This window comes from Homo sapiens, chromosome 19 (assembly GCF_000001405.40).
Source record: "Homo sapiens chromosome 19, GRCh38.p14 Primary Assembly".
In the NCBI taxonomy this organism is placed as follows: Eukaryota; Metazoa; Chordata; class Mammalia; order Primates; family Hominidae; genus Homo; species Homo sapiens.
Genome location: NC_000019.10, coordinates 50,969,270 through 50,991,178, shown reverse-complemented (window position 1 = coordinate 50,991,178; position 21,909 = coordinate 50,969,270). Strand labels below are relative to the sequence as shown.

General features: G+C 51.0%; 2 protein-coding genes and 1 long non-coding RNA gene across 15 annotated transcripts in view, besides 2 other annotated features; 2 read left to right on the top strand and 1 right to left on the bottom strand.

The window, feature by feature from the left end:
- Window positions 520-720: a silencer, noted in NCBI's record as "peak3546 fragment used in MPRA reporter construct". NCBI's record gives its function as "represses an SCP1 promoter by STARR-seq MPRAs in K562 erythroleukemia cells {active_cell/tissue: K562}" and the evidence as "EXISTENCE:reporter gene assay evidence [ECO:0000049][PMID:32103011]".
- Window positions 6,973-7,527: an enhancer, noted in NCBI's record as "H3K4me1 hESC enhancer chr19:51486908-51487462 (GRCh37/hg19 assembly coordinates)". NCBI's record gives its function as "activates a minimal SCP1, AML or CMV promoter by ChIP-STARR-seq in naive H9 embryonic stem cells {active_cell/tissue: H9 hESC(naive)}" and the evidence as "EXISTENCE:reporter gene assay evidence [ECO:0000049][PMID:30033119]".
- Window positions 7,115-14,711, top strand: KLK7 (kallikrein related peptidase 7). Of its 4 annotated transcripts, none has more exons than NM_005046.4 (6): window positions 7,262-7,328; window positions 8,722-8,852; window positions 9,265-9,412; window positions 10,692-10,939; window positions 11,255-11,391; window positions 13,488-14,711. In NM_005046.4, exons 2-6 carry the CDS (start codon window positions 8,780-8,782, stop codon window positions 13,641-13,643), a joined length of 762 nt encoding a protein of 253 aa, NP_005037.1. In that variant the 5' UTR covers window positions 7,262-7,328; window positions 8,722-8,779; the 3' UTR covers window positions 13,644-14,711. The 4 variants fall into 4 exon arrangements, with proteins under 4 accessions (NP_001230055.1, NP_005037.1, NP_001193982.1 ...); NM_139277.2 differs by lacking the exon at window positions 7,262-7,328 and adding an exon at window positions 7,364-7,407 and having other exon boundaries at window positions 13,488-14,700; NM_001243126.1 differs by lacking the exon at window positions 9,265-9,412 and having other exon boundaries at window positions 7,115-7,328; window positions 13,488-14,700.
- A 1,741-nt stretch (window positions 14,712-16,452) lies between these two features.
- LOC105372442 (uncharacterized) overlaps window positions 16,453-21,909 on the bottom strand; it is a 24,604-nt gene continuing 19,147 nt past the window's right edge. For 6 of the 8 annotated variants that reach the window (XR_007067301.1, XR_007067304.1, XR_007067308.1 and 3 more), the window contains 3 exons: window positions 18,119-18,219; window positions 17,846-17,998; window positions 16,453-16,519 (listed from right to left, as the gene is read on the bottom strand). This is a non-coding gene — a long non-coding RNA (uncharacterized LOC105372442). Of the gene's footprint in view, window positions 16,520-17,845; window positions 17,999-18,118; window positions 18,220-20,219; window positions 20,742-21,909 lie in introns of those variants that run through there. The other 2 variants (XR_007067303.1, XR_007067305.1) reach the window with 2 other exon arrangements.
- Window positions 21,588-21,909, top strand: part of KLK6 (kallikrein related peptidase 6) — a 10,961-nt gene continuing 10,639 nt past the window's right edge. For all 3 annotated transcript variants that reach the window (XM_024451611.2, NM_001319948.2, NM_002774.4), the window contains exon 1: window positions 21,588-21,689. The gene's annotated coding sequence lies outside the window, so the exon portion shown is untranslated. The remainder of the gene's footprint in view (window positions 21,690-21,909) is intronic.

Sequence of the window (21,909 nt, the reverse complement as noted above, 5' to 3'; positions counted from 1 at the left end):
ATTTTATTTAATCCTCTCATTTGCCTCGGTAAATAGGTTTTGCTCTCCTCCACTTTGGGGAGGGGCAAAGTCTGACTCAGAAAAATGAAGTCACTTACCCGAAGTCACAGGGTGGGCAACCAGGATTCAAAGCTGGGTTGAAAGTCCAAGTTCTTTCTAGTTCTTTCTGTCACACTGCATGGTGGAACAGCTCAGGGATCAAGGCAGGACTGAATCTAAGGCCTGTGGACCTGTGGATGCCAGAAGTTTGCAGACTAGTATTTATTTAAGTACCTCCTGTGTTCTCCGGTCTGGGCGGGGTGCTGGAAAAAAAAAAAGAACCCCACACACATTTCCTCTGCTTGTGATGACCAGTGTTTGGCAACAAAATCAGGTTAAATAATTAGGAATATAATTTACAGAATGATAGATGATGAAAAGCAGAGGATAGACGTTTTGGTGACTTAGGAGTGAATAACAGGGCTCTAGAGTAGCCTGGCTCCTTCCTCTTTCTAACAGATACTAAGGAGGCAGAGGACTGAGGGAGGAGAGAATCTAAGGATGAAGATGCAGGGAGTAGATAATACACTGGAAGTCTTGCTACCATTTCTGTCTTTGAGAAGCCAGGAAGGAAAGATACAGATTGCTGAATCATGGAGCTGTGAGGTCAACTGGGCTGGAGTCTGCTTCTCCTTGATTTGGGAGCCCAGGTCAGGAATGTTGACACCCTTCACGACCAGATTGCTGCTGTGGAATGGGCAGGGCTAGATGTCCAAGTTCGGGGATCTGATTTTGGATTCGATGACAGTAAATGTCTCAGAAGATTTTGGGACTCGGCTTGAGTTGAGTTAGTATAGCATCAATGTTAGCAAGATATTCGTTGGCAGACTTTATTTTAGAGTTTTTGTAAAATGAAGAGTCAAAGTTGTGTGGTGAGCTGGAGAAATAAAAATGGAACTGGGAAAAGAATTGGGGATGGAAATGAGAATGGGATTTTAGGTAGCAATTGGGTTGAGGATGAGAATAGGGGTGGGATGGGGTGAGAGTGTTAGAATTGGTGTTGGATGTGAGGGAATGGGTTCATGGGGGAGGATATGAATGTGGGCTTCCTAGAATATGATGGGAATGGAGACTAATGTCTGAATTATCCCGTGGCAGGCTTGATACTCAGGCTATGGTGACATTCACTGCTCAGGTCAAGGTTGAGTTTGGCTTATGGCTAATGGTTCAGGGTTAAGGTCAAGGGTCAGGAGGGTTAAGTTTGATTGAGGTCTGGATCCTAGCCTGAGTTGATATTTGGAGTCAAGAACTCAGTCAAGATTTAGGTTATTGGTTGAGATACAAATTGGGGTTCATCAAGGATAAAGCAGAATTTGAGGTTCAGGATTGGGTACAGATTAAGGTTTGGGGTTAAGACTGGGGCTTACTAAAGAGTCAAAAAAACAATAGATGTTGGCATGGATGTGATGAAAAGGGAACACTTATACACTGCTGGTGGGAATGTAAAGTAGTACAACCTCTGTGGAAAACAGTATGGTGATTTCTCAAAGAACTAAAAGTAGATCTACAATTCAATCCAGCAATCCCACTACTGGGTATCTACCCAAAGGAAAAGAAGTCACTATATCAAAAAGACACATACACACGTATGTTTATCGCAGTACAATTCACAATTGCAAAGATATGGAACCAAAGTAAGTGCCCATCAACTGATGAGTGGATAAAGAAAATGTGATGTGTATGCACCACGGAATACTACTCAACCATAGAAAGAATCAAATAATGTCTTTTGAAGCAACTTGGATGGAGTTGGAAGCCATTATTCTAAGTGAAGTAACTCAGGAATGGAAAACCAAATGCCTTACGTTCTCATGTGTAAGTGGGAGCTAAGCAGTGGGTACCAAGTGGTATAATGGACACTGGAGACTCAGAAGGGGGAGGGTATGAAGAGGATAAGGGATAAAACACTATAAATATTGGGTACAATATACACTACTTGGGTGATGGGTGCACTAAAATCTCAGACTTCACTGCTATACGATACATCCATGTAACCAAAAGCCACTTGTACCCCGAAAGCTATTGAAACAAACAAAAAGGCTGGGGCTTATGTCAAAATACGTGTTGGGAGTTGTGTCAAAGTAAAGGTTGGATTTAGGGTTCTGCTTGAAGTCAGGGTCTGAGGTCTTTTCTTGTCATATCAGAACCATTTGACCACATCTACCATGTCTTCTCAATGAATGGCATCACTGTCCATCGAGCAACAGACTTTGAAATCTTAACATCTTCCACTACCTCAACACAACCTTCATTCAATCCATCACCAAGGCTTGTTGATTCTCTCTCCTAAGTGCATTTTGAACCCATGTACTTAACATCGTCTCCACCTTTCAACCACCTGTATCCAAGTCACCATCTTCCCTCATCTAGACAACAACAATGACTTCCCCCATGGTTGCCCAGTATCTTCACATCCCACCCAAATCCAGCCTTCATACAGTAGCTAGGTTGATGTTTTGAAAATACAAATCTTGTTATGTTATTTCTCTGACTAAGGTTCAAATAGTTCTTCATTATCCACAGGATAAAGCAAGACTCACAATGACATACAGAGCTCGTCATTATCTGGTCCCAGTTAACCTCTGGCCTCCGAGCTCCAGCAATAATGCCTTGGGCCTTTGCACATGCTCTTTTCTCTACACAACACACTCCCCATTCTCCTCCCATTTTCTTCTAGTTACCAGAAGAAATTTTCTTCTAGTTACCAGAAGAAATTTTCTTCTAGTTTACTATTTCTAGTTACTAGAAGATTTCTTCTAGTCTACTTCTAGTTCCTAGAAGATTTCTTCTAGTTTAATATTCTTTCAAATCTCAGCTCATAGTCAATTCCTGGGTCTAACCCCTCTGGAAGTGCCTTCATAATACCCTGCACCTGTCTTTCAGAGCATGCCTTGTAGTTGTAATTTTACACTTGTTTATGAATTGACTGTATTTCTTTTACATGACACTATCAGCTCCTTGAGGGAAGAGACACTATCTAGGTTTGCACACCATTGTATCCTCATTGGTAGATAGCTACCACCCAATCCATATTTGTTAAATATATAAAGGATTGGTGTTAAACTATTGCATAAACAATCAACAACTTTTCCCTAAAAAATAAGAAATCCACTGTATAGAAGAAAAACTAAGAAAAAATTAAATTTAGATGAGAGGTAGTCAGCTATAGGATCCAAATTACTAATTTGTTTTTTTAAAAAAGACTATTCTAAAAATTAAATTGGTCATCTTCACATTAACAATGGCCAAAATGGGATATGGGCTGAAATGGGATATGGGGATGAGGGTTGGGAAGAGAGCTAAGACTGGAGGCATGGTTGAGTTTGTTGATTTATGTGGCTTCAAGATATGGAATCAAGTTAGAATCGGATTTGGATTTGTGGCTTGGGATCAGATTTGGGATCTGAGTCAATATTCTGATTGAACATTGAGGTCTTATAAAGATGATTTTGGCTACAAGGACCAAGCAACTCTAACCCAGAAGGGGAATCTGAAAAATCATGACATGAAGAGGCTCCATCGTTGGTTAATTCACCAGCTCAGTGACTTCATCAAAGACCCAGCTGATCCTCACCTCTCTGGTGGGCTACCTGCAGTGTTTTGACTTAGTCCTCTGGTCACTTCCCTCTGTGGTCCCTGGGGTGCTGCCACAGTTCCAGAATTTGCATCCAGAAAAGACACCATCTAGCAGAAGAAAAAAGTCCCCTTTCAGTGCCTCTTTTTGAAAATGAGAAAGTCTTTCCTAGAAGTGCCTCAGTGGTCTTCCCCTCCTCCTCATTGGCCAGAAGAACAGCACATGTCCATTTTCCAACTAATTAAGCAAACGAAATATGGCTTCAATGCTTGGTTCATTGAGGCTTATAGTCCTGATGAGGATAAAGTATTATCCAAACAAAATGGAGCCTCTGATAGAAAGGCAGAAGGAGTGAATGCCTGGGGACACAACAATAATGTCTACTATTATGGGTCAAATGTAGAATCGAGTTGGGGTGCCAGGCGTGGTGGCTCACACATGTAATCCCAGCACTTTGGGAGGCTGAGGAAGGCAGATCACCTGAGGTCGGGAGTTAGGGACCAGCCTGACCTACATGGAGAAACCCCATCTCTACTAAAAAAAAAAAAAAAAAAAATTAGCCAAGTGTGATGGTACATGCCTGTAATCCCAGCTACTCGGGAGGCTGAGTCAGGAGAATTGCTTGAACCTGGAAGGCGGAGATTGCAGTGAGCTGAGATCGCACCACTGCACTCCAGCCTGGGCAATAAGATCAAAACTCCATCTCAAAAACAAAAACAAAACAAAACAAAGCAAAAAAAAGAATTGAGTTGGGGTCAGGATTGAGATAAGTTTTAGGTCCAGGGTGGAGAAATAAATCCCATTTTGGGGATATAATTTAGAGGTTGAGGTCAATTCCAACTTTAGAAGTGTGTCCAACAATGGTTCCTGTCTTACTCAAAATAAAAGCCAAAGACCTTTCAGACCGCATGTCATCAGAGTCCTGTTATATTTCTGGCCTCATCACCTGCCCTCATCTCCTTTGGTCACTCTGTATTGGTCGCAGTGATTTGTCTGCTGAGGCACTTCAGATATGCTCCTTGGCTAACACACCTGCCTGCTCGCTTTGCCTGGAACTCACTACCTTCAAGCAGCCACCTGGATCCCTCCACCATCTCCTTCAAGACTTTGCTCAAATATCACCTTCACGTGGGGTCTTTGCAGCCAACCTTCCTGATATTATAACCTCAGGGATCCTCGAGGGTAGAGGGAATCAGTAACTCCCCAACCCTCTTCCTTGCTTGGATTTTCCCTTATAGCGCTTACAACCACCTAACAAACTCTACATTTTATTTGCTTATTTTTGTGCTGACCTGACAGTACAAAACAAAAACCTCTATGAAGACAGAAATTTTTCTCTGTTTTATCACTGCTGTGTCTCCAAGAGCCTGAATAGTTTCTGGCACAGAGTAGATGCTCAATGGATGCTGTTTGAATGACTACAATGAACAAAGATGAATGTACAAAGAAGTTCATCTCAGCATTATTATAATTAAAACTATCCAAGTGTATTTCAATTTGAGGCAGATGACATGCATCATGATACAAGTATAGTATGGAATATTACACAACCATTATAAAGGAAGGAAAAGTAATCTAAATGTACAAAGAGGGAAAAGTTTTCCTCTTTTTAAAAAATAAATGTTATTGTGTATATTTAAAGTGTACAATATGATCATATGCGATGTATATACATAGGACAATGATTACTATAGCTGAACAAATGAACATGTCCATCATCTCACATAGTTACCCATTTTCCTCCCCTGTGGCAAGAGCAGCTATAATCTACTCATTTAGCAAAAATCCTTGGCTGGGCGCGGTGGCTCAGGCCTATAATCGCAGTACTTTGGGAGGCCGAGGCCGGTGGATCACCTGAGGTCAGGAGTTGGAGAGCAGCCTGACCAACATGGTGAAACCCCATCTCTACTAAAAATACAAAAATTAGTTGGGCATGGTGGTGCACGCCTGTAATCCAGCTACTCAGGACTCTGAGGCAGGAGAATCACTTGAACACGGGGGAGTGGAGGTTGCAGTGAGCCGAGATCGTGCCATTGCACTCCAGCCTGGGTGACAGAGCCAGAGTCCATCAAAAAAAAAAAAAAATAAGAAAGATTCTTCTCTCCTCTATGTGTCCATGCAGTCTCATCATTTAGCTACCACTTGTAAGTAGGAACATGCCATATCTGGTTTTCTGTTCCTGCTTTAGTTTGTAAGGGTAATGGCCTCCAGCTCCATTCACGTCCCTACAAAGGACATGATCGTGTTCTTTTTTATGGCTACGTAGTATTCAATTGTGTATACGTACCACATTTTCTTAATCCAGTCTATCACTGATGGACATTTAGGTTGATTCCCTGTGTTTGCTGTTGTCAATAGTTCTACAATGAACGTACGTGTCCATGTGTCTTTAAACAGAATGATTTATATTCCTTTGGGTACACACACTGGGGCTTATGAGAGGGTGGAGAGTGGGAGGAAGGAGAGGATCAGAAAAAAATAACTAATGGGTACTAGGCTTAATACCTGGGTGATTAAATAATCTGTATAACAAACCCCCATGGCGCACGTTCACCTACGCAACAAACCTGCACATCCTGCACATGTACCCCCGAACTGAAAAGTTAAAAAAAGAAAAATAAATATTTGCTTATAAATTAATAAATGAAGCCCTCAAAAATGTTCTATTAGATAATGTTAAGTACAGACATTTTTGTTATAAATACATAATATACAAAGAAATCTATGTATAACATGATTAAAATGACCATAAGAACATAGATCCTAAACATGGCAAATATTAGTGGGGTGGGGTTAGGGAAAGCGTTGTTTTTAACTTACACCTCTCTGTTAGAGTTGGGAATGGGTTCAGGCGTAATTACAGGCACGACTGGGATCAGCTTGGACAAGTTCCCCCAGGCGGGCCAGAATTAGGATGTAGGGTCTAGGCCACCCCTGAGAGGGGGTGAGGGCAAGAAAATGGCCCCAGAAGCCGGGCGCAGTGGCTCACGCCTGTAATCCCAGCACTTTGCGGGGCCGAGGCGGGCACATCATGAGGTCAGGAGATCGAGACCATTCTGGCCAACATAGTGAAACCCGGTCTCTACTAAAAATACAAAAATTAGCTGGGAGTGGTGGTGCGTGCCTGTAATCCCAGGTACTCGGGAGGCTGAGGCAGGAGAATCACTTGAACCTGGGAGGCGGAGCTGGCAGTGAGCCGAGATCGCGCCACCGCACTCCAGCCTGGCGATAGAGAGAGACTCCATCCAAAAAAAAGAAAGGAAGGGAGGGAGGGAGGAGGGAAGAAAGAAAGAAAACCGCCCCAGAGAAGGACCCGAGCCAGAGCCTATTCTCTGAGCTCAGCGACTGCTTGAATCCCGCTCCTGCCCCTCAGACCCAGCGCACCGGGTCCCTCCCCCGAGAGCAGCCAGGAGGGACTGTGGGACCAGAATGTGCGGGGGCGCAGGAGCTGGGCACCGCCCGTCCTTCGGAGGGAGGGTGGAGAGAGAGTGCAGTGGTGCCAATTGCTCTCGCTGCGTCAGGGTTCCAGATAACCAGAACCGCAAATGCAGGCGGGGGTGTCCCAGAGTCGGCTCCGCCTGCACCCCAGGGCGCTGGGGCCGGGCATGGGGCGGGGGGTGATATAAGAGGACGGCCCAGCAGAGGGATGAAGATTTTGGAGCCCAGCTGTGTGCCAGCCCAAGTCGGAACTTGGATCACATCAGATCCTCTCGAGGTGAGAAGAGGCTTCATCAAGGGTGCACCTGTAGGGGAGAGGGTGATGCTGGCTCCAAGCCTGACTCTGCTCTCGAGAGGTAGGGGCTGCAGCCTAGACTCCCGGTCCTGAGCAGTGAGGGCCTGGAAGTCTGCAATTTGGGGCCTTTTAGGGAAAAACGAACTACAGAGTCAGAAGTTTGGGTTCCACAGGGAAGGGCAAGATCGGAGCCTAGATTCCTGGGTCTCTAGGGATCTGAAGAACAGGAATTTTGGGTCTGAGGGAGGAGGGGCTGGGGTTCTGGACTCCTGGGTCTGAGGGAGGAGGGCCTGGGGGCCTGGACTCCTGGGTCTGAGGGAGGAGGGGCTGGGGGTCTCGACTCCTGGGTCTGAGGGAGGAGGGGCTGGGGGCCTGGACTCCTGGGTCTGAGGGAGGAGGGGCTGGGACCTGGACTCCTAGGTCTGAGGGAGGAGGAGCTGGGGCCTGGACTCCTGGGTCTGAGGGAGGAGGGGCTGGGGCCTGGACTCCTGGGTCTGAGGGAGGAGGGGCTGGGGCCTGGACTCCTGGGTCTGAGGGAGGAGGGGCTGGGGCCTGGACTCCTGGGTCTGAGGGAGGAGGGGCTGGGGCCTGGACTCCTGGGTCTGAGGGAGGAGGGGCTGGGGCCTGGACTCCTGGGCCTGAGGGAGGAGGGACTGAGACCTGGACTCCTAGGTCTGAGGGAGGAGGGACTGGGACCTGGACTCCTGGGTCTGAGGGAGGAGGAGCTGGGGGCCTGGACTCCTGGGTCTGAGGGAGGAGGGGCTGGGGCCTGGACTCCTGGGTCTGAGGGAGGAGGGGTTGGGGCCTGGACTCCTGAGCCTGAGGGAGGAGGGACTTGGACCTGGACTCCTAGGTCTGAGGGAGGAGGAGCTGGGGGCCTGGACTCCTAGGTCTGAGGGAGGCGGGGCTGGGGGCCTGGACTCCTGGGTCTGAGGGAGGAGGGGTTGGGGCCTGGACTCCTGAGCCTGAGGGAGGAGGGACTTGGACCTGGACTCCTAGGTCTGAGGGAGGAGGAGCTGGGGGCCTGGACTCCTAGGTCTGAGGGAGGAGGGGCTGGGGGCCTGGACTCCTGGGTCTGAGGGAGGAAGGTGCTAGGGTCTGGACTCTTGGGTATGAGGGAGGAGGAGGTTAGGGGTCTGGACTTCTGAGTGTAAGGAAGGAGAGGCCAGAGAAAGGAATTTCTGGGTCTGAGGGAGGAGGGGCTGGGGTTCTGGACCCCTAGGTCTGAGGGAGGAGGGGCTGGGGCCTGGACCCCTGGGTCTGAGGGAGGAGGGGCTGGGGCCTGGACTCCTGGGTCTGTGGGGGGAGGGGCTGGGGCCTGGACCCCTGGGTCTGAGTGGGGAGGGGCTGGGCCTGAATGCTTTCTCCTTCTCAGCTCCAGCAGGAGAGGCCCTTCCTCGCCTGGCAGCCCCTGAGCGGCTCAGCAGGGCACCATGGCAAGATCCCTTCTCCTGCCCCTGCAGATCTTACTGCTATCCTTAGCCTTGGAAACTGCAGGAGAAGAAGGTGAAAGCTGGACTGGGAAGTCTGACCTCACCTCAGGGCCCCCACTGACCCTCTCCAAGGAGTCCCTGAGTCAGAACCCTTCCCTCCTCAAACAGCTTCCATCCTGGGAGGACCAGACTGTCGGCTGAAGCCCCCGCTCTTCCTGCTTCTGCTGACTCAGGGGGTCTCTGTCCCCTCCAGGCCCTGCCTCCTGTGCTCAGGGTCTCTCTGTGGTTCCCCAGATGAGATGCGCCTCCTGGGTTTCTGAGTGGGCTCCTTCTGTCTGTCTCTATCCCTATCTCTTGCTTTCTCTGTATTTCTCCACACATTTTCATCTGTCTCTGTCCATCTCTGACTCTGGGAATCCCTGAGGTGCAGCCTCAGCCTTCCCCTAATGCTAGCTACCCACGTGCTCCTCCATGTCTCCATCCAGCCCAGGGTGACAAGATTATTGATGGCGCCCCATGTGCAAGAGGCTCCCACCCATGGCAGGTGGCCCTGCTCAGTGGCAATCAGCTCCACTGCGGAGGCGTCCTGGTCAATGAGCGCTGGGTGCTCACTGCCGCCCACTGCAAGATGAAGTAGGTGCCGCCCAAGTCTCTGCTGGAGGTGCACCAGCGTCTCCAGCTCGCTATGGGGGTGGAAGGGCAGTCTTTCTGTGCCTACGGCTCTATTCTCCTCTCTCTGGGTCTCTGTCCTCCTCTCTCTGGGCCTCTGTACCCCCTCTCCCTGGGGCTCTGTCCCCCTCTCTCCCTGGCTCTCTGTCTCCCTCTCTCTGGGTCTCTGTCCCCCTCTCTCTGGATCTCTGTTCCCCTCTCTCTGTGTCTCTGTCCCCCATTCTCTCTAGGTCTCTGTTCCCCCTCCTCTCTCTCTGGGTCTCTGTCCCTCTCTCTCTGGTCTCTGTCCCCCTCTCTCTCTGGATCTCTGTCCCCCTCTCCCTGGGCCTCTGTACCCCCTCTCCCTGGGGCTCTGTCCCCCTCTCTCTGGGTCTCTGTCTGCCTTTCTCTCTGGATCTCTGTTCCCCTCTGTGTCTCTGTCCCCTTCTCTCTCCGGGTCTCTGTTCCCCCTCCTCTCTTTCTGGGTCTCTGTCCCTCTCTCTCTGGGTCTCTGTCCCCCTCTCTCTCTGGTCTCTGTTCCCCCTCCTCTCTCTCTGGTCTCTGTCCCTCTCTCTCTGGGTCTCTGTCACCCTCTCTCTCTGGGTCTCTGTCACCCTCTCTCTCTGGTCTCTGTTCCCCCTCCTCTCTCTGTGGGTCTCTGTCCCTCTCTCTCTGGGTCTCTGTTCCCCTCTCTCTCTGGTCTCTGTTCCCCCTCCTCTCTCTCTGGATCTCTGTCCCCCTCTCCCTGGGGCTCTGTCCCCCTCTCTCCCTGGCTCTCTGTCTTCCTCTCTCTGGGGCTCTGTCCCCCTCTCTCTCTGGTCTCTGTTCCCCTCTCTCTGGGTCTCTGTCCCTCTCTCTCTGGGTCTCTGTCCCTCTCTCTCTGGATCTCTGTCCCCCTCTCTCTCTGGGTCTCTGTTCCCCTCTCTCTGGGTCTCTGTCCCCTCTCCTCTCTCTGTGTCTCTCTCCCCCCTCCTCTCTCTGTGTCTCTGTCCCCCCTCCTATCTCTGTGTCTCTCTCCCCCCTCCTCTCTCTGGGTCTCTGTCCCCCCCTCTCTGGGTCTCTGTCTCCCTCTCTCTGGGGCTCTGTCCCCCTCTCTCTCTGGATCTCTGTTCCCCTCTCTCTGGGTCTCTGTCTCCCCTCCTCTCTCTGTGTCTCTGTCCCCCCTCCTCTCTCTGGGTCTCTGTCCCCACCCCGTCCCCCAGGTCTTTGCACACCCTCTCTGTCACAGTGTCTCTTCTGAATCTGTGAATGTCACTCCTCGCAGTGAGTACACCGTGCACCTGGGCAGTGATACGCTGGGCGACAGGAGAGCTCAGAGGATCAAGGCCTCGAAGTCATTCCGCCACCCCGGCTACTCCACACAGACCCATGTTAATGACCTCATGCTCGTGAAGCTCAATAGCCAGGCCAGGCTGTCATCCATGGTGAAGAAAGTCAGGCTGCCCTCCCGCTGCGAACCCCCTGGAACCACCTGTACTGTCTCCGGCTGGGGCACTACCACGAGCCCAGATGGTAGGTGGCCTCAGTGACCCAGGAGTGCAGGCCCCAGCCCTCCTCCCTCAGACCCAGGAGTCCAGGCCCCCAGCCCCTCCTCCCTCAGACCCAGGAGTCCAGGCCTCAGCCCCTCCTCCCTCAGACCCAGGAGTCCAGGCCCCCAGCCCCTCCTCCCTCAGACCCGGGAGTCCAGACCCCAGCCCCTCCTCCCTCAGACCCAGCAGTCCTGGGCCCCAGACCCTCCTCCCTCGGAACCAGGAGCCTGAACAACAGCCCTTCTGGTCCTCGCCCCCATCCTCTCTGACTGACAGCTCTCCCTGCTCCTCCCTGCAGTGACCTTTCCCTCTGACCTCATGTGCGTGGATGTCAAGCTCATCTCCCCCCAGGACTGCACGAAGGTTTACAAGGACTTACTGGAAAATTCCATGCTGTGCGCTGGCATCCCCGACTCCAAGAAAAACGCCTGCAATGTGAGACCCTCCCCCCCAATTCCTCCCCAGTCCTGGGTACCCTGTCTGCATGCCCCAGGGACAGAGCTTGACCCGAGTGACTGGGTACCAAGCCCGGCCTTGCCCTCCCCCCAGGCCTGGCCTCCTCAGCTTTTTCCACCTCATTCTCTGCCTAGGTCAGGGGTGGGAGTTTACTTAGGGGCCAATGTGGCCCTGGGGATGAGACAGAGAGTTTAATAGGGGTGAGAAAGTGGGGGTGGGACCAGGGAAGGAGACTGAGGTGCTGGCCTCAGGCCCAAACCTTAAGGGGGCACCAAAAACCTCAGTGATTGAGATAAATCATAATGCAATATTTAAAAATAAAAATAAAAACTCATGCAGAAGTCCATGATGGACAAAATGTCACATTTTAAATAAAGAGCAGGTGGATCTTACTGAATTTTCCCTTGCCGTAAGTACTAGCGTGGCTCAGCACAGCGCTGTACTGGCACTGTCTTCATTTAAAATGTGGATACCATGCCCATCATGCAGTTTTATGTATTACATTTGATTTCGTTAAGTACTGCATTGAAGTATTGTGTATTGCAGTTACTGAGATTTTGTGCCTGAAGCTGATGACTCACTCACCTGACCCTGGCCCTGGTCCCGGGGAAAACACTCTTTCTCTCCACCTCCTCTCTGTTCCCTCTTTCTGGCCTTTTGTCATCCCCTCTGTTTCTGAACAGTCTTCCCACATCTCTCTTTGTGACATAATTTCATTTCATTCTTTTCCTCTTTGTTTTTTCTCTGTGTTGAGCTAGCTTGCTCTCCCTCCCTTGTTCTCTCTCCATGCCCTCCTCTCTGCTCTCTGTCTTCTCCCTCTTTCTCTTGCTTCTCTCTCTCTCCTCCCCTCCCTCTCTCCTCTCCCTGCCCCCCTGCTCTCTCTTTTTTCCTCTCTCTCTGTCTCCTCTCTGGCCCTCTCCTCTTTCTCTCTCTCCCCCACTTCTCTGTCTCTCTTCATCTCTCTCCCTCATCTCTCCTTGCCCCCTCCTTTTTACTGTCTCTCTCTTTCTCTTTCTTCTATCTCTCTCCTCTCCCTGCCGCTCCCCCATCTCTGTCTTTCTTTCTCTCTCTTTATTCTCCTCCTCTCTTCCAGTCTCTCTCTCCTCTCCCCACCCCCACCCCATCTCTCTCCCCACACCTTCCCCCCCTTTCTCTTTGTCTCTCTCTTCTCCCTCTTTCTTCTCCACCCCCATCTCTCTCTCTCTTCTCTTCCCACACCCTCCCCATCTCCCTCATCTCTTTGTCTGTCTCTCTTCTCCCTCCTTCTTTTCCACCCCCATCTCTCTGTCTCTCTCTCTCCCCATACCCTTTCCCTCTTCCTCATCTCTCTTTGTCTCTCTCTCCTTTCCCTCTTTCTTCTCCACCTCCAACTCTCTCTGTCTCTCCACACCCATCCTCCTTGCTCACATCTGCACCTTCAGCTGTCAGGGGATGTGGGATGGTGAGTGTTAGGGATAGAGGAGATGGGAGAGAGATGACTGTCCTAGAGAATAGGGTGTTCCCCTTCTCCCCTGGTGAGGGCCAGTTTCATGAATGTGCAAGCTCTGCACGGACACAGAGCCCCACACTCAGAAGGGTCTCAAACTTAGTCTAATGCATTCCTGCTGTTGTCTTGAAATTCTCAATAATTTTTGAACAAAGGGCCCTGCATTTTCGTTTTGCACCAAGTCCTGTAAATTATGTAACTGGTCTTCACCCTGGTCTCCGAGACCATCGTGTCCCCCTTTCCTGCGCCACAGGGCACGCATCCACCCCTTGGAGATGATGTTCCTTCTCCCACTAGCTTGGAGCAGGGTCCTTAACATTGGAAAATAAAGAGTGCTCTGATCCTGGAAGCCCCACCCCTTCTCTGCAATTGGTCTCATTGGCCAAGGGTCAAACCAGTGTCTTCAAAGGACCTAGTGTGTCCCTAGCACTAGCTCTCCCATTAGTCCCCAGAGACAATGAGTCTCTTCTCATTGGCTATGGTGGAAGTCCATAATCTGCAAGACAAAGACCGATAACTGAGGAATGTATGAGAATGAGTTGGGCTTTGATCTGAAGCCAAAGTTAATCTCCGGCTCTATTCCCTCTAGGGTGACTCAGGGGGACCGTTGGTGTGCAGAGGTACCCTGCAAGGTCTGGTGTCCTGGGGAACTTTCCCTTGCGGCCAACCCAATGACCCAGGAGTCTACACTCAAGTGTGCAAGTTCACCAAGTGGATAAATGACACCATGAAAAAGCATCGCTAACGCCACACTGAGTTAATTAACTGTGTGCTTCCAACAGAAAATGCACAGGAGTGAGGACGCCGATGACCTATGAAGTCAAATTTGACTTTACCTTTCCTCAAAGATATATTTAAACCAACCTCATGCCCTGTTGATAAACCAATCAAATTGGTAAAGACCTAAAACCAAAACAAATAAAGAAACACAAAACCCTCAGTGCTGGAGAAGAGTCAGTGAGACCAGCACTCTCAAACACTGGAACTGGACGTTCGTACAGTCTTTACGGAAGACACTTGGTCAACGTACACCGAGACCCTTATTCACCACCTTTGACCCAGTAACTCTAATCTTAGGAAGAACCTACTGAAACAAAAAAAATCCAAAATGTAGAACAAGACTTGAATTTACCATGATATTATTTATCACAGAAATGAAGTGAAACCATCAAACATGTTCCAAAAGTACCAGATGGCTTAAATAATAGTCTGGCTTGGCACAACGATGTTTTTTTTCTTTGAGACAGAGTCTCTGTTGCTTGGGCTGCAATGCAGTGATGCAATCTTGGCTCACTGCAACCTCCGCCTCCTGGGTTCAAGTGATTCTCGTGCTTCAGCCTCCCAAGTACCTGGGACTACAGGTGTGCACCACCACACCAGGCTAATTTTTTGTGTATTTTTACTAGAGACAGGGTTTCACCATGTTGGCCAGCATGGTCTTGAACGCCTGACCTCAGATGATCCACCCACCTTGGCCTCCCAAAGTGCTGGGATTACAGGCATGAGCCACCACGGCCAGCCCACAATGATATTACAAACCTATTAAAAATGATACTTAGACAGAATTGTCAGTATTATTCAAGAACATTTAGGCTATAGGATGTTAAATGACAAAAGGAAGGACAAAAATATATATGTATGTGACCCTACCCATAAAAAATGAAATATTCACAGAATCAGATCTGAAAACACATGTCCCAGACTGCATACTGGGGTCGTCATGAGGTGTCTCCTTCCTTCTGTGTACTTTTCCTTGAATGTGCACTTTTATAACATGAAAAATAAAGGTGGGGAAAAAAGTCTGAAGATCTAAGATTGGAGAGAGGTGACCTTTCAGGAAGGGAGACTAGAAAGAAATATGTGCCTGGTTTTGAGCCCTGGTCCTGCCGGCCCTGTTCCAGGGCATATTTCCATTTCCCAGATCTCAGTTTTTCCTGTCTGTAAAATGGGAGAGAGAGGAAAGGATGGAGAGAGGAAGAAGGAAGGGAGGAGGGAGGAGAGAACAGGCCAACTTCATCAGCGTGGGAAGGGGTGTGAAAGTGTTTCTGAGCATCTCACGAGTGACAAGTGAGGAGGGAGGCTGGCGGTTTTCAGAGGGATTGGGATGACAGTAGACAGGACACAGGGGTCCCACGGGGGTCTGCCAGAAGTAAGCAAACAGTGCCGGAGGAAGATGGTGGCACCTGCTCCCCAAGAAGGGAGGGAAAGGAACCTCGGGAAGCGGGTAGGATGAGGGAGGAGTCCTCTGTGACTCAGAGCCTGGCCACAGCCCCAGCCATCTAACATCAAAGATCCTCTGTGTGGTCACACCTCAGACGCTGCTGACCGAGGAGCCACTCCAGCCCAGGACACGCCCTCCTACCTGTTCTTCCTGTTTTTCTCCCAGAATTCCCTCCCCACCAAGATCCTCCAGATCCTTCCCCTCCTTATCTCATCTCCCTCTGAGTCTCTCCTAACCCAGGCACCACAGCCCTGTCATATTGCAGAAATTCTGCAGCCGCTAATTCTGATTCTCCCATATAGGAGGCTAACACAGAAAACGCAGGAGTCCAGGCCCCCAGCCCCTCCTCCCTCAGACCCAGGAGTCCAGACCCCCCAGCCCCTCCTCCCTCAGACCCAGGAATCCAGACTCCCCCCAGCCCCTCCTCCCTCAGACCCAGGAGTCCAGAACCCCAGCCCCTCCTCCCTCAGACCCAGGAATCCAGACTCCCCCCAGCCCCTCCTCCCTCAGACCCAGGAGTCCAGACCAGCCCCAGCCCCTCCTCCCTCAGACCCAGGAGTGCAGGCCTGCCCCCACGAGCCCCTCCTCCCTCAGACCCAGGAATCCAGACTCCCCCCAGCCCCTCCTCCCTCAGACCCAGGAGTTCAGAACCCCCCCCACCAGCCCCTCCTCCCTCAGACCCAGGAATCCAGACTCCCTCCAGCCCCTCCTCCCTCAGACCCAGGAGTTCAGACCCCCCTGCCAGCCCCTCCTCCCTCAGACCCAGGAATCCAGACTCCCCCCCAGCCCCTCCTCCCTCAGACCCAGGAGTCCAGACTCCCCCCCAGCCCCTCCTCCCTCAGACCCAGGAGTCTAGACTACCCCCAGCCCCTCCTCCCTCAGACCCAGGAGTTCAGACCCCCCCCCCCGCCAGCCCCTCCTCCCTCAGACCCAGGAGTCCAGACCGCCCCCAGCCCCTCCTTCCTCAGACCCAGGAGTCCAGACTCCCCCCAGCCCCTCCTCCCTCAGACCCAGGAGTTCAGACCGCTCCCCGCCGCCAGCCCCTCCTCCCTCAGACCCAGGAATCCAGACTCCCCCCAGCCCCTCCTCCCTCAGGCCCAGGAGTCCAGATCCCCCCCAGCCCCTCCTTCCTCAGACCCAGGAGTCCAGACCCCCCGCCCCAACCCCTCCTCCCTCAGACCCAGGAGTCCAGGCTCCCCCCCAGCCCCTCCTTCCTCAGACCCAAGAGTCCAGACCCCCCGCCCCAACCCCTCCTCCCTCAGACCCAGGAGCCCAGGTCCCCAGCCCCTTCTGTTTCTGGGCCTGTCAAGTTTAAGAATGTCAAACATTTTCGACCAGTCATTCCCCTGAAGTTTTAGCAACATTTTCTCTCTCTTCTGCAAGGCACTCCAACATTCAATCTGGAATTTTAAAAAGTAACAAAACATTGCATTTGCACTAAGTCAGCCTGGAGATCCCTGGCCCTGGCCCTCTGCTCTCCTATACGCAAGCTACAGGTAGATTGGTTTGCAATGACTGAGATGGTACTAATGTTGATTTTTTTTAAGTAATTCATTTTTCTTTGGGTAAGCAGTATAGTGTGGTAGTTAAGGGACTAGCTCTGGATCTTGGCTTCTTGGGTTCAAATCCCAGTTCTAGTCCCTACAAGCTATTTTCCTTTAAGCTCATTACTTCCCCTGTCCCTGTTCCTTCATCCTTGAAATGGGAGAAAAAGCACCTACTTTCTAGGGTTATTACAGAGATTCAATAAGTTAATATACAGAAAGTGCTCAAACATTGTGTGGCACGAGGTAAGCCTTCCTTCAATGGTCATTGGTTTTAGTTTAGTTTAGTTTAGTTTAGTTTTTCTTTTTTTTTGAGACAAAGTCTTGCTCTTGTCACCCAGGCTGGAGTGCAATGGCGCGATCTCAGCTCACTGCAACCTCTGCCTCCCAGGTTCAAGTGATTCTCCTGCCTCAGCCTCCTGAGTAGCTGGTATTACAGGTGCCTGCCACCATGCCCGGCTAATTTTTGTATTTTCAGTAGAGACCAAGTTTCACCACGTTGGCCAGGCTGTCCTCAAACTCCTGACCTCAGGCAATCTGCCCGCCTTGACCTCCCAAAGTGCTGAGATTACAGGCATGAGCCACCGCGCCTGGCCCAGGCATTGGTTTTTATTGTTTATGACTTCTGGCACTTTTTTCTGCTTACAGTCTCATGAAGTTTCCTTATAATTTTTTTTTTCTTTTTTTCACATAGGGTCTTGCTCTATCATCCAGGCTAGAGTTTGGTGGCATGATCATAGCTCACTGCAGCCTCAGTCTCCTGGGCTCAAACAATCCTTTTGCCTCAGCCTTTCGAGTAGCTGGGACCATGCCTGGGCTGATTTTTTTTTTTTTTTTTAGTAGAGACGGGGTCTCACTATGTTGTCCAGGCTGGTCTCTAATTCCTGAGCTCAAGTAATCCTCCCACCTCAGCCCTCCAAAGTGCTGGGATTACAGGTGTGAACCACTGCACCGAGACAGAAGAATTTATTTAGTGAAGAGTTTTGCAGAGCAAGACAATCTGGAGCAAACTATCCAGTAAATAAGCATTCAAAGTATGCAGAGATGGCAAACCATGAAGGTCACCAGAGAAGAGGTAGAGTTAGAAATTTCTTTCTCTTCAAAGTCCCTCCACTCCCCACAGCCTAACACCTCCCTTCTTTCCCCACCCAGCTCTCAACAATTCCTCCCAAGTTCACTCACCTCGTACTGTCATAAGATAGACCCAGCCAGGCCACCAAGGGATGGGCCACATCCACGCCATGTTGGAAGCTGAGTTCCCATTCAGGCTCCACCATTTCCTGGATGTTTGATGATGAGCAATGAACTTCCCGTTCTGAGCCTCAGTTTTCTTATCTGTAAAATGGGAGTGGGTGTGATAAAGTCATTTAGTCATTTGGTCAGTCTTGCCTAAGGCTTCTTCTGGGCAAGGTCCTGTGTGGTTGCTTGGGACACAGGGATGAGTCAGTCCCGTACCTGCCCTCAAGGAGCTCACGGTCCAGTGGAAGAGATGACGAATGTCAATCCAGGTGGCCCCCCGTCCAGGTTGGGTTGAGGGAGACACCTGCTGTGGGAACCTACGTGAGAGAATGAGTAATCCAACTACAGCAGGTGGCAGCTGGGTGGTGTTCAGGGAAGGTTTCCTGGAGGAGGTAATGTCCAAGTAAAGACTTGAAGGACAGGTTATTGCCAGGAAAAGGTGGGGAAAACATGCTAAGAAGAGAGAATAGGCCAGGCACGGTGGCTCACGCCTGTAATCCCAGCACTTTGGGAGACCGAGGCAGGCAGATCACCTGAGGTCAGGAGTTCATGACCAGCCTGGCCAACATGGTGAAACCCCATCTCTACTAAAAATATAGGCATGGTGGTGTGTGCCTGTAATCCCAGCTACTCGGGAGGCTGAGGCTGGAGAATTGCTTGAACCCAGCAGGCGAAGAGAGATCGCGCCACATCACTCCAGCCTGGGCGACAGAGCGAGACTCCATCTCAAGAAGAAGAGGGAATAGCATTCAGTGAAGGGCCAGAGGCCAGAGGGCATGGCATGGGTCAGGGAAGCTTGATGTGTTCTAGAAAGCTGGAGCCACACGGAGACGTAGACATAGCTGTGTCATGCAGTGTGAGGGCCACTCACCACTCAGGACTCCTTTTAAAAAAATTTTTGACAGGGTCTGGCTCTGTCACACTGAAGTGCAGTGGCGTGATTATGGCTTACTGCAACCTGGGCCTCCAGGCTCAAGCAACTATCCCACCTCAGCCTTCTGCATAGCTGGGACCACAGATGTGTGCCACCACACCTAGGTAATTTTTTTCTTTTCTTTTTTTTGTTTTTTTTTTTAGAGATAGGGTCTCACTATATTGTCCAGGCTGGTCTCGAACTCCTAGGCTCAAGTGATCTTCCCACCTCTGCCTCCCAAAGTGCTTGGATTACAGGCATGAGCCACCTTGCCCAGCCATGTCAGGCTGGGGTGCAGTGGTATAGTCACAGCTCACTGCAGGCTCGACCTCCCAGGCTCAGCAATTCTCCCGCCTCAGCCTCCGGAGTAGCTGGGACTACAAGTGTGCACCACCACATCTGGCTAATTTTTTTACTTTTTGCAGAGATGGTTTCTCACTATGTTGCCCAGGCTGGTCATGAACTTCCGGACTCAAGCTATCTACCCACCTTGGCCTCTCAAAGTGCTGGGATTACAGACATGAGCCACCATGCCTGGCCTTAAATTTATTTTTTAATTGACAAGTAAAAATTGTATATATTTCTGGTGTATAACATCATGTTTGATATATGTATGTATATGTTGTGGAATGGCTAAACCAAGCTATTTAACATATGCATTATTTTACACCCTTATTTTTTGTGGTAAGGACACTTAAAAAATCTTCTGACTTAAAAAAAAAAGTATGGTGATTGGAAAATGTAAATGTGCATGCGTGCTTGGCATCACATTTCATTGGCCAGGACTTCCCTGGATGCTAAAGGTCCTCAAATGCCAGGCTGGGGGGCTGGGACTTGGTCCCAAGGGAGATGGGGACCCAGGGCACGTCTGTGAGAGGAGGGGCAAGGTCAGCACAAGGCACAGGAAGGTCTCTCTGGGGCAAGGGATACAGAGAACAGAGGGATCCTGGTCCAGGTGGGAGAGGTGCAGCTCTGAGTTGGGGTTGAGGGTGTGGGTACAGAGAGGAAGGGACCCCCCAGAGAGAGGAGGCAGAGGGATAGGGCCTGGTCACTGGGTTGTGCAACATCAGACTTGCTGTCTGTGAAGATAGCACGTCCTGAGAAGAAGGTGCTGAGGTCAGTGGGGACCAAATGTGAGAGGGAGCACCCGGAGAGTATACTGAATACCGAAGTAGTCTTCATCCCTGGAGTGATGGGGGGTGCACAATGCAAGATGACAATTAGATTCAATGCAAGACAAAGAAAAGGGTTGGCTGGGAACAGTGGCTCATGCCTATGGTCCCAGCTCCTGGGAAGACTGAGGCGGGAGGGTCGCTTGAGCCCAGGAGGGTTGAGGCTGCCACGAGCAAGGATCGTGCCACTGCACTCCAGCCTAGGCGACAGAACAAGACCTTGTCTCAAAAGAAAAAAGAACTTTTTTTTTTAAGTTACCTGTAGTGCCCAGCCCAAGCAGGTGCTGAGCCAGACTTCATTCCTATCATTGTCCTTATTACGCAGTGACTTCCCCCTCCTCATTTCTCTCCACTCTGCCACGCACACACCCTCACCCTCCAGCCCATACCAACCACCCCAACCACTGCCTGTGGTTTCCCATGTGCACCCAGGCCAGGCATTTTCACGGCCTTTCCTCCTGACCTACGCCTGGCTCAGCTTTCTAGGCCCAAGTTCAAAGACACCTCCCTAAATCTTCCCAGATCCCTCTGCTACTGCCCAGCACCACCATCTTATCACAGCCCCACGTCGTTCCCAAGTGCTCTCCGATTTCTGCTTAACTCCATGCCTCTCGCTGTGTGTCCGCATCTCATCAATAAGTCCTCAAGTCCTCTTCCATCCTGCTAGCTTCCTCATCGCTCGGGAATCATCCCCGCTACTTCCTGGGGAAACTGACTCCCTTCTGGGCACACACAGTGCTACCCCCGGGGAAATCTAAGAAGAGACCCAGGAGAAGATAAGCACGGAGAGTCAGAGAATCAAGGGGAAAGAAAGGGAGAGAGGCCGGGCACAGTGGCTCACACCTGTAATCCAGCACTTTGGGAGGCCAAGGTGGGTGGATCACCTGAGGTCAGGAGTTTGAGACCAGCCTGGCCAACATGGTGAAACCTCTTCCCTACTAAAAATACAAAAAACATTTAGCCGGGCGTGGTGGTGGGTGCCTGTAATCCCAGCTACTTGGGAAGCTGAGGCAGGAGAACTGCTTGAACTCAGGAGGCGGAGGTTGCAGTGAACTGAGATCACACCACTGCACTCCAGCCTGAGTGACAGAGCAAGACTCCGTCAAAAAAAAAGAAAGAAAGAAAGAAAAGAAGGAAGGAAAGAAAGAAGGAAGGAAGGAAGGGAGGAAGGGAGAGAGGAAGGGAGAGAGGAAGGGAGAGAGAGAAAAAAAGAGGGAGAGAGACACAAATACAGAGACTGAGATGGGAGAGAGAGAGAGATGGAAGCTCCCTCCCCTCCATGGCCAGGGAGACAGATGGAGCAAGAGACCTCAGGGGTGGGCAGACTTGGAGGAGAAGGACCAGGAGGATGTGGAGTGCCGAAATCTCCAGTCAGGGCCAGGTGGGCAGTCAGAGACTGCAAAGGAGGACTGTCAGACAGGGACAAAAGGAAGCCATTGATGTAACCGCCCTCCCGCCTGCCCGCCGGAAGAGAGGTTGAGGCCGGAGCTGCTGGGAGCATGGCACTGGGGTGCTGGGGGCGGACAAAGCCCGATTGTTCCTGGGCCCTTTCCCCATCGCGCCTGGGCCTGCTCCCCAGCCCGGGGCAGGGGCGGGGGCCAGTGTGGTGACACACGCTGTAGCTGTCTCCCCGGCTGGCTGGCTCGCTCTCTCCTGGGGACACAGAGGTCGGCAGGCAGCACACAGAGGGACCTACGGGCAGGTGTGTGAGTCACCCCAACCGCACTGAACCTGGGCAGGCTGCTTCCCAGTGCCGGAGGGCTCTAGAGCCCGGAGTGAGGGCCTGCAGGTCCCTGGGTGGCACAGAGAGTGCTGGGGGTGCAGGGAGGCCTGGGGCACCATCTGCTTGCCCCAGAGGCCGGAATTTGTCTTCAGACACTTTCTTTCTCCAAAACCCGGAGGTCTAAGGACTGAGCCGACTA